Raw genomic sequence first — 12,660 nt, 5'->3', positions numbered from 1 at the left:
TGTGGTGAAAGATGACAAATATCGGAAAATGAATTCCCTGATTCCTTAATTAATTAACCATTCATTCATTTATTTAAAATATATCTTGAATTACTTATTTGTGACTAGTGCTGTTTTACATAATGGAAATACCACAAGTAATCATTTTTAAAATTCTTTTGCTTTCACAGACTTAAATCAAATAAATATTCTAGTCCAAAAACAACATACAGGTTGCATGCCATTATGCAGATTCTTTTAGTGAACAAAGTATGCACTGCTCACCCTAATTTGGAAGCACTTTTGTTTCAGAGTTCTATAAGAAAAGCAATGCTGCAAAAAAAAAAATGACCAATACCTCCTAAAATAAATAACATCTGAGATATAAAGTTATGTTTTATATCAAGATGTAGACTGTATCAACAAGGGATGCCATTCCAAGAGTTATTCTAAAATGCTGTTTATCGTGATTTGGAAAATTTTCAAATCATTACAGAAACAAAATTATATCACATAAGTGCATGCTGACAAAATCATGCAATTTCATAAAATCTGCACTCTCGATATTATGCCATACAATCTGTGCTGTCAGTATTATGCATAGGTGATTGAAAGCTGTGAAGTTCTGTTGAGGAGTGGCCGGTAATCATTGATGGGATACCACCGTTTTCTACGTGGTAGGGCTTCTCATTTTCTGCACAATGCCTTTGGACAGCTCTTTTGCGTGAATCTGTCATCTGCGAATAAACTATTAAAATCATGGACCGAGTTAGTATATTGTATGTATATGGGGTTTATCCTCTGGCAAAACAGCAGAACTGATAAGTATGTGAAGCATTAGCAAAAGTTAATGTGTAAGCCACAAGAATAGATAATTTCCCTGAAGAATGGCAGTGTCGATGAAAAGCAACCAAAAGTAAATTTATAGGAGACAGAGAACAAAAAGTTGATTTGAGAGAAAATAGAACAAGAGGACATAGAAAAGAGGCAGAGTAAAGTTCAGCATAGCATATTTGATAAATCAAGAGGACATATTTGAGAAGAGAGGGTTAGGATGCCTGCTAATAGACAGTGGGTATTAGTGGACAGAAACATCGGTCACTGTTCTTAAACACAGCTCGCATTAGAGATAAGACAACAAAGATCAGCAGCATCCAACTCCTAAACTGTGTGTACTTTTTTACCTCCCAACATGTTTTATTGGCTTCAATATTTAATCAGATATAAAGGGCTCCAGGAAAACTAGCTTTAAAGAGAAAACTTTTAGGAATTATTTTGTCTAGTTCCTGAAAAAAGAAAAATGTGGTTTCTTTTAAAACTTGTATTGGAAATTTGGGACCTGGGGAAGTTTTGTTTCTAAACATAAAATTAAATTATAACATTTGTCTACATTATAAAGTCTCTAGTTAGCTTTCATGAAAGCCTTAATTATTTAAGGGAGAAACAAAGACAGTCAGCAAACACATTTAGAGATGAGAAAAGTAATATTCCTAAAATAATTAGATTAAAACCAATTCTAGGTTAAGACTATATTTTGCCTCATACCAAAATTGTCTATCTCTACTGGATTACTCATTTTTCTAGAAGGGCAATAAATATTAATTTAAAGCTATAGACACAAAGGTACTGAAGTGTGAGATTTTCACTGAGACCATGAAACTTTAAACCACAGATATTGGATAATTTGCCTGAATGAAATAGATATTATTGTTCACTAAGATACGCTTTTGTGCTGCTGAAATTATTTTCCACAATTTTGTACTCAACATAAGATTATCGATAGCATTTGCTATGCTAACCAGCATAGCAAATCCAGATTTATTCGCCATCCTTAAATAGTTAATAGTGTAATGTAGTTGATTATTGCAATAACAATGTTTGCTATAGGTACCTCAGAAAATTACAGTAACAAGTATCAAAAACAATTTATAAAGTACTATTAAATTATAAATTACTTTTGTTTAAAAGTTTTATATTTTCGCATTATCAGTTAAATTCACTAATTACTTAAAATTAAGGTAATCCTGATTTTTTGCAATGAATCTGAAATTATCTTATAATTACATTAAATAAGAAATACCTCACATTTATCCTAAGCAAAGTTTCTTACAATTGATAGACAGTATTTGTGCACTGATGAAATGTGTCAAGTTTTTCAAGGATAAATACTGTTTAACATTACTATTATTTAACTTTCTTAAAGAGATTAGAAGGACCTACTGACTTAGTGATAGTTTTTGCATTAATTAACTACCTCATTTATTCAATAAATGAACTTGAGAATACAGAAGTGTTGCATTAGGAACAAAAATCGTGAGCAAAGATTTGTCCATAAGAATCCTATATTTTTTAATTAGAGATGAGCAAGCCATAAAGAAGAATAGACACAATGAGAAACTTATGATATGTGCTTTCAACATGACAAAATAAAAAAGGATGTTAACTGTGTGTTGTATATCGCCTATATTATATTGAGGTATGTTCCTTCTCTACTCAATTTGTCAAGAGTTTATACCACAAAGGGACGTTAGATTTTATCAGATATTTTTTCAGCCTCTATTGAGGTAATCATATGAATTTTTTCTTTGATTCTGTTAATGTCATGTATCATGTTTATTGACTTTGGTAAATTGAACCATTCTTCCCTCTCTAGGAAAAAAATCCGACTTTATCATGATGAATGATCTTTTTAATTGAATTTGGTTTGCTAGTATTTTGTTGAGAATTTTTGCATCTGTATTTATCAGGGATATTGGCTTATTATTTTGTGAGTATGTGATTTTGTCTGGTTTTGATATCAGAGTAATACTGGCCTCCTAGATTAAATTTGGACATTTTCTGTCCTCTTCAATTTGTTGGAATAGTTTAAGTAAACAGAATTGGTATTAGTTCTCTAACTGTTTGGTATAATTTAGAAGTGAAGCGCTCAGATCCTGGGCTTTTCTTTTACAGGAGATATTTTATTGACTTCTTATGGGTCTGATTAGGTTTTCTATTTACTGAAGATTCAATCTTGGTAAATTTTATGTGTCCAGGAATTTATTCATTTCTTCTAGGTTTTACAATTTGTTGGCATATACTTGTTTGTAATATTCTCCTATAATTCTTGTATTTTTGTGGTATTAGTTGTAATGTCTCCTTTTTCTTATTTTATTTGAGAGTCTTCACTCTTGTTGAGTTAATCTAGCTAAGTTTGATGATTTTTTTTATCTTTTAGAAAAACAAACTTTGTTTTGTTGATCTTTCTAATTATTTCCTATAGGCTCCATATATTTCTACTTGGATATTTATTATTTCTTTCCTTCTGCTAGTTTTGGGGTTAGATTGTTCTTGTTTTTCTGATTCCTTGATAACATGTTGTTTATTTCAGATTTCTCTGCTCTTTTCCTGACATAGGCATTTATTACTATAACCTTCTCTTAGAACTGCATTTGTTGCATTCTTTAAGTTTTGCTATGTTGTGTTTAAATTGTCATTTGTATCAAAGAATTTTTATATTTTCTTTTGAATTCCTTCATTGACCCATTGGTTTCTCCTAAGAATGTTATTTGATTTTCATGTATTTGTATAGTTTCCAAAGGTCATCCTGCTATGGATTTCTAGTTGTATTCCAGAGTAGTCAGAAAAAAAATACTTTATATGGTTTTACTTTTAAAAAATATGTTATGACTTGTTTTGTGGACTAACGTATCATCTATGCTGAAGAATTTTCCATTTGCTGTTGAGAAGAATGTGTAATCTGCAGCTGTTGGATAGAATGTTGTATAAATGTCTGTTAGGTCTATTTGGCCTAGAGTGCAGCTCAAGTTTCATTTTTTATTGTTGTTAATTTTCAGGCTGGCTGACTTGTCCATTGCTGAAAGTAGGGTTTTAAAGTCTCCTACTATTATTGTATTGAAGTCAACTTTATTTATATCTATTAAGATTTGTTTTACACATTTAGGTGCTCCAGTGTTAGGTGCATATATATTTACAATTATTATATTTACCCAATATATTTAATTCTGTATCACTGTCTAATAGCTTTCTTTGTCTTTTATTGTCATTTTTTGCTTAAAGTATATTTTTACATAAGTATAGCTATTCCTGGTCTTTTTTGGTTTTCATTTGTAGAAAATATCTTTTTCATGTCTTCAATTTCAGTATGTGTGTCTTTATAGGTGAAGTAAGTTTCTTGCAGGCAGCATGTAGTTGGGAATTTTAAAAAATATATGGAACAACTTGATGTATTTTAATTAGAAATTTAGTCTTTATAGGTGAAGTAAGTTTCTTGCAGGCAGCACGTAGTTGGGTGCTTTAAAAAATGTATGGAGCAACTTCATGTATTTTAATAAGGTATTATTGATTGGTAAGAACTTATGACTATCACTTTTAATTTGTTTTCTGGTTATTTTGTAAATGCTTTGTTCCTTTCTTCCTTTGTGGTTAAGTGATTTTCTCTAGTAGAATATTTTGATTTCTTGTTTTTTATTTTTAGCGTATCTATTATGTGTTTTGTGGTTACCATATGGTTTACACAATCATCTTACAGCTGTAACAAGTTATTTTAAACTGATGACAACTTAACTTTAATCACAAATAAAATAAAGTCTAAGAAACTCTATACTTTTATATTTTCCCCATATTTTGACTTTTTGATGTCTCACTTTACATCTTTTTATATTGCCAATCCCTTGACAAATTGTTGTAGTTACTATTACTTTTAATAGTTTTGTCTTTCAGTCTTCGTACTAATTTGAGTCATCCACACACCACAATTACAGTATTTGAGTGTTCTAAACATCTATGTAATTACTTTTACCAGTGAGTTTTATCCCTTCAGATATTTTCTGGTTAGATTTTGCACTCTTTTCTTTCAGACTGAATAAATCTCCCTAGCGTATCTTTAGTACAGGTATAGTGGTGATTAATTTTCTCAACTGTTTGAGAAAATCTTGTCTCCAATTTATGCCTGAAGAACAGCTTTGATGCGTATAATATTCTTGATTGGCAGTTTTGTGTGTGTGTGTGTGTGTTTTTTTCTTTCAGCATGTTAAAAATGTCATGTCACTCCCTCCTGGCCTTTATAGTTTCCGTGAAGAAATCTACTGCCAGGTGTATTGTAGCTCCTTTATAAGGTATTTGCTTCTTCTTTGTTTTTGTTTTTTTTTTCCATTGCTGCTTTTAGGATCCCTTCTTTGTTCTTGACATTTGAATTCCATCATTATATGCCTGAGGGTAGTTTCATTTGAGTTGAATCTGCTTAGTGACCTTTGACTTTTCTGTACTTGTATATTTATTTGTAACTTTTGATATTGTTGGATGTATCCCCACCTAAATGTCGTCTTGAATTGTGGCTTCCATAATCCCCACGTGTTGTTGAAGGAAACTGGTGGGAGGTAATTGAATCATGGGGGTGGTTTTTTCCCATGCTGTTCTTGTGGTAGTGAATAAGTCTAACAAGATCTGATGGTTTTATAAAGGGCATTTCCTCTGCACACTCTCTCTTGCCTGCTGCCATGTTAAGACATGCCTTTGCTCCTCCTTTGCTTTCTGTCATGATTGTGAGGTCTCCCCAGCCATGTGGAACTGTGAGTACATTAAACCTCTTTTTCTTTATAAACTACTCATTGTCAGTTATGTTTTTATTAGCAGCATGAGAACAGACTAATATACTTTTCTTTATGGTTGGAAAGTTTTCTATTATTATTCCTTCATGTAAACTTTCTCCCTCTTTCTAGTTCTCTACTCCTTCTTGAATGCTAATAACACACCTGTTCTTTGATAAATTTCATAGATCCTGTCAGTTGTTTTTTCTTTTTTTCTATTCTGATTGTGTATTTTCAAATAGCCTGTCTTTGAGCTCACTGATGCTTTCTTCCATTTGATCAATCTGCTGTTGTGACCCTCTAATGCATTCTTCAGTCTTTTAACTTTATTTTTAGCTCCAGAATTTTTGTTTTAATTTAAAAATATTTTAATCTATTTGTTAAATTGCTATGATAAATTTCTGAATTGTTCTCTGTGGTTTTTATTTTTATTTTTTAAGCTTTGTTGATCTTCCTTAAACAGCTATTTTGATTACTCTGTCTGAGAGACTACACATCTATATCCCTCCAGGGTCAGTCACCGGTACCTTATTTAGCGCATTTGGTGAGGTCGTATTTTCTTGATTATTTTTGATGGTTGTGGATGCCTGTTGATGTCTGGACATTAAGGAATTGGGTATTTATTCCAGTCTTCACTGTCCGGCCTGCTTGTACCCATCCTTCTTCAGAGGGCTTTCCAAGAATCAATGGATTCTGACTGTTAGAGTTTCTAATCCTGTGATTACTACAGCCCTAATAGCAACAGAGGGCACCCTAAGGCCAAGTTTGCTAAAACTGTCTCACAGACTCTGTGGTCCTGACTCAGATGTACCTGTAAAAGATCATACCCAGGGGTGTTCCCTGTGTTCCAAGGCAGAGTCCCTTACTCAATTTTCTCTTATTCTCCTAGGCAGGAAAACTTTCTCATCTCTGTGCTGCCTGGGGTTAAAGCTGTGATGCAGGCATACTTGTGGCTGCCACAGTTGATGCTGTGCTGAGTTATATCTAAAGCTCATAGCCTCCCAGATCACCACAGTGCAAGAGCTTACCCAAAGCCTATGGCCACCATGACCTTCCTAGCTGCTAGAATGTTTTGGGGGTCTGAGACTACTTTAGTCACATGGTGGTGAAGCAGGCTGGGACACAGGTTCAAATTGCTGGGATGGTGGATTCCCTGCTAGTGTCAGGGAAGGTCTAGAACTTTCATCCACAGGCACAAACATGGAATCAGGGGCCACGGGGATTTGTCTGGTGTTGTGTTTTTCTGTGGTGGGACTGCTGCTGGGTTTCAAAGCAAAGTCGATGCACACTTTCTTCTCCTTCCCTTAAGCAGATGGCATCTCTCTCCACGCTTCACAGCTTGGGGATGGGGGAGAGATGGTAAAGGCAATGAGATACTGCTCTTCCTACCCTCTCCAATGCATCTTTTCTTATTATTTTGCTAAAATCAGGTATTGTGATCTCTCAACTGGTTTTCTTATGTCACATGAAGGTATTTTCTCATGTGAATAGTTGTTCAAATTGATGTTTCTACAGGGGCACAATCACTGGAGAGTCCTGTTCTGCCATCCTCCAGTGAGAAGAGTCTCTAGTAAATTATGTCAGTGTGTTTCAGTCTATATCTGCACTATAATAGGTGTACATTCAATCCATACCTGCACCTATAATAAGTGTACATTTACTGTTCATTTAAGTCATTAATTACTAATAGAAATAGTGCAAACATCAGTATCCTGATGATTACTTTGCACTTTAGAGTTCTACAATATGCCAGTGACAATCTCTAAAGCAGAAAGTGATTATTTTACCATTTATATGTGTTTGAGGTAAACAGAAGGGTCAATACATTATAAAATGTGTAAATGCTTGAAGAAATATTTTGGCATAAAAAGAGAAACTGTATCTAATAAAAATGTTCAAAATTATGGAATTATTTGATATAACATAAAGTTAAACATAAACTCTGGAAGTATTAGTTATAGGGACATCAAGTCATATGTTATATAATTGGCATTAAAGGCAAAGTACTAACAGTGTAATCTGGCAAAATAAAGTGTTTTTTTCCTAAGGCTTTACAGGAATATAAAAGTCTCTAACACTATCAATGAGATTTTATATGTCACCAATAAAAAACAAATATTTTCCAAGCATTGTGAAACATTGTATTTATGAGTTAGGCTTTGAATTCTTGACAGATTTTTGACTATATGAGACAGGAAATCATTGGGTCATTTTCTCATCTTTAAAAAAACAAGTAACTATTGCAACTACTAACCAAGTTTAGTGAATGTTATAGCTGGAACACTAATAATTTAAATGACTAAAATGATTGCAAATTTTGGCTAAATCACATTTTAATTGCCTACATAGGAAATATATAAAACCAACCAGAAGCATCATCATTCATAAAGAAATTTTAAAATATACATATAAGTTTCTTTCTTTGTCCAGAAAATCTTCAATTTGGCCATAATATTTTTATTTAATGTCATATAACAAACGGATGTATGATCCTACCCTTTCTTTCTGTCAATGTTCTTATGATTATCTTTTTTGATCAGCTGTTATCACTTTGCTTTATCATCTTCTTGGCTATAGTTAATTTGTAGTTATTACAGTTGATGTCATTGTTATTACTACTACTGTTGTTATGGAATGGGCTCTTATCATATGCTAGAAAACTCACTATGTGTTTCTTCAGAATGTACACAGCCTAGAACCAAACTATGTGTTTTTCTGATGCAGACTTTAATTGTATAACCATTAATCTGTGTTACTTCTGCTTAAAGTATGTATGTGTTCAAAGAGCAATTTACCTAATGTGTCCAGGAAAATATTACGTAGGAAGTAATATATAATATCTTTAAAGATGAGAAAAGTACTACTCTTATAGCTCCCTCCTCACTCTCCCCTGCCATCTTCACCCACACACACAAAAATAGCTTTTATGTTATAGGACAATGCTCAGGGTAGAATGGTAACTCCAACGATAAGTCCAAGCAACTCATGGGGTTCACAAAACAAGCAAAACAAATGCAAAGTTAACATTACTCATTTGAAAAAGGATATACCTGGAATAAACTTTGAACTTTGAACATTCATAGGTTGCAACTAATAAAGGACCACCACTGAGGAAGTGAACATTTTAGCAAGGCAGAGCCTGAGAAAAATACACTGAGAAACACAGAAGTAGATTAAAAGACATAGGCACAGTCAGTAATTTGTGTTATCCCTAAAATTTCTCCTGAATTTCAGACTCATATACAAGTGTGCTTTTGACTTTCATTTGTATGTTTAATAGTCATTTCACATTTGATATGTTTTAAACAAAACTGTTGATTTTCCAGTACAACCTTATTTCTTTCCATGTTTTTCACATCAGGAAATTGCAACATCATTCTTCCAAATTGTATAGCTCCTCTCAGAAAGTCTTCCCTCCTTCATCCTGAATTTATATACTGATTCTGGTTTCTTTCACTATCTTGTACAGGCAATGATGCAGGTCCAAGACGCCGGTGATATTTCACCTAAGCAATTGCAATATCTCCTGGCCTTTCCCCTGGCTGCCAGTCTTCACTTCTTTGGAGTCAATTCTCTAAACCAAGGCAGAGTAATCCTGCTAAAAATTAAGTAATATATTACTATTCTAAGTCCTTGCCGTGGCTTTTGATCTTATGTAGAGTAATGCCCATAGATTTGTCAAAGCCTTGGAAGGCCAGCTTACAGATTTCCTCTCTAACCTCTTTTTTTTTTTTTTTTCCTGTGGAGACGGAGTCTTGCTCTGTCGCCCAGGCTGGAGTGCAGTGGTGCGGTCTTAGTAACCTCCGCTTCCCGGGTTTAAGCAATTCTCCTGCCTCGGCTTCCCGAGTAGCTGGGATTACAGGCGCACACCGCCACGCCCGGCTAATTTCTTCTGTATTTTAGTAGAGATGGGTTTCCTGTGTTGCCCAGGCTCTGCTCGAACTCCTGAGCTCAGGCAATCGCCCGCCTTGGCCTCCCTGAGTGGTAGGATTAGAGGCATGAGCCACTGCGCCCAGCTTCTAACCTCATTTTTTTAAAGCACTCTTGGTTTCACTCATTTTGGCCCAGCTACCATGGCTTCATTGTGGCTAATGGAATTCATCAAGTATGTTTATTCCCACACCAGGCCCTTGATGTTTGCTCATTCCATTGAGTGTATTTTTCCTCCCGATAGTCATGTATTGCTACCTCACTCCCTTTAGATCTCTACTCAAATTTAACTTTATCAATGTGGATCTCCCTTGTGAATTACATAAAACCTTACCCCTTACAGACCTCATTATTCTCTCTACCCTGCATTATCCCCATTTCACATATACCCATACACAACACAAGATAGTAAAATAAATAGACTGATCAATTGATTGATCAATAGATGTCTTGTTTCCCCAAGCAAACCTTTCTCTCAACCACATTTATGAGACTTTGTTTTTGTTAAAAGATATGCAAAATATCAGATTTTTCAAAATAAATATATTTAATGGTTAAAAATGTTTAATTTCTTATTTTTTTTCCAACACTTCTCTTTTTCTGGCTGCCTCATTGTTTTTTACAATGACTGTGAGTCTATAACTATGTCCTCTGACTCCCCAGTATATACACACACTCTCTTCATCATCTCACTCTCATGTTTGCAACATCCAATTTCTCTTTTCATTCTCACTGCCACCCCCTTAAGAGAACTATCTCTTGTTATCATTCTTCTAGATTTCATGGACTCCATGTATTTTCCTTTCATGAACAGGTGTCACAATTTTCCTAACCACTTTGTAAAACCTAGTCAAATGTGTGACATGCAGCACTTTTCACCTTGCTTTTGCATCCACTTGCTCTTTAAATACCCTAACTGTATCTTCCACTTTCCAATTCTATTATTTTTCCAAGAACTCAATTAAAATGTCAAGGTTATTATATTTTCCGCCTGGAATATTAGCTAAGATTGACCTGTTTTTTTAACTCACAGTATTTTAAACTTTTATCTTATTCAGCATGAGAAAATAAATATTTGCATATATCACAAAGCAGGTACATTTTTGAAAATATAAGCTATCGTATATCTTTATATTTCTAAAAGACTCATAAGCTCAGTAAAAAGGAAAAGTCTATCTGTAGAGAGTGAAAAACCCTATGACAAAATTTAAGGTTAAATGGCAAATTGAGTGAAATACTGTCACAGTACGAAGAATGTTGGATAATTTTACCTACTGAAGAACAGGAAATAGATAACAGTGCATTTAAAACTATAAAGAAAAGAATGATGAGAATGCTGAAAATATACTGTTCATAGCTGATTAATATTATAGCTTCATTTCATCTATTTTTCTCTAGATAGATCCTAAAAGTATCTATAACTTAAAAGGCATTATAGCACTAATGATTTGGTTGGTTTATGAGGCTATTTTTAAATTATCTGTTTGTAAACAATCTGGCTGGTGACTAGAAGGTCAGAGTTTCCAACAGTGAAGGTGCTTCATCAAAGTTATCATCCCCATCTGTGAGGGATGCTTTTATCTAGGGCCAATGCGAATGACTTCGCTCTGCTGAGACCACTGATTGTGTGTGTATGCGTGTGCTGCACACGAACATTCTGCACATGGCACTCTTAGTAGCATCCTGCCTTCTGCTGGGGAAGTTTGTAAAGATTTAGACAAAGTTTGTAAAGATTTACATAAGTTTTCTTTATATCTTTCCTTTTTTATTTGTATTATGTACTTTGAGGCCTTCACTCAAGAGAAGTCAGATATTATTATGATAATCTCACAAAAGGACATCACACTTCTACTAGAAACTACATACCAAGATGTATATAGGAAAAATAAACTCAGAAATGCAAATAAATTCATTAAAAAACTTCAGCTTTCACAAACGCAACCTGACAGGTATTTCATGGAACAGCCTATCCTATGAACTTATCATCCTATTTTGGTAAAATGTTGCGTGGTGGATATGTAGGAATTTGTGGCCCTTCTAATATTTGGTGTACTTTCCTCTGCAATTGGAAGTAACTTTGGCTTAATTAAACTTCTTTGCTCTCCCAGTGATTCAAATATACACACATATGACCCCACAGAATCTGCTCAAATATTTTCTTCTTTATTTCTCCTTTGAGATTACATGTATCTTAGTCCATTTTGTGCTGCTATAACAAAATATCTGAGACTGGGTAATTTATAAAGAACAGATGTTTATTTCTCACAGTTCTGAAGGCTGAGAAGTCCAAGATTAAAACCCCCACAAGTTTCAGTTGTCTAGTGAGGTTGCATCCTTTGAAAGAGCAGAACACTCTGGCCCCACAGACAAAAGAGCTGAAGAGCAAGCTAGCCAAACTCTGCATGCAGCATCTTTTATATAGCTTTTGGTCTCATTAACAAGAAACCCTCATGGCATAATCAGTTCTTAAATGTCCCACCTCTTAATACTATCACACTGGCAACGCTTGAATTTTGGAGGGGACACATTTAAACTATAGTCACATGTATATTTTAAACTGTTTAGATAAATCAGTTTATAATTCAAAGTAAATATCTCCATCTGTTTTCTCACATAACACAGGTGATAGCTACAAAGAATATAATTTATTATTTAGCAATTGAGATACTCAAGGGAAAAATGGTATGAAAAGAAATACCCAATTGTATGTACTAGAGACTGAATGAAATGCAAAAAAAGAGAAGAAAAAATAAGAAAAGTAAAGTAGTTTTACTCAAGAATACTATACTTACTCAAATAGACGTTCACTTGTAAAGGTACTAGAATCATATATATTCAAGGATCGATTAATATCTATGTAATAGGCTTTAGAAAAAATTTAAAACCTCAAGCAACAGAGACTTAAATCAAAATACTAACTCAAAAGCTAGATAAAGTGTGATCTATAAAGCTGATGACACACTGGGAAAAAAAAAACAAAGTATTAGTGAATCATGAAATATAAGGTTATAAAACAGAAGGCAAGAATCCTTTATGAAAGAAAAGAAAAACTATCAGACTTATAAACAGTTTTTAAAAAGCATATTGACCTGGTTCACAGAATGTACCAAGACAACACGGAGGGAGGAGTAGATTTAGAAAGTTATAATTATTAGCAATTCTC

The sequence above is a fragment of the Homo sapiens genome, chromosome 5, assembly GCF_000001405.40.
Source record: "Homo sapiens chromosome 5, GRCh38.p14 Primary Assembly".
NCBI lineage: Eukaryota > Metazoa > Chordata > Mammalia > Primates > Hominidae > Homo > Homo sapiens.
The sequence above is the reverse complement of the archived record's forward strand: the minus strand, read 5'-3'. Positions refer to the sequence as shown.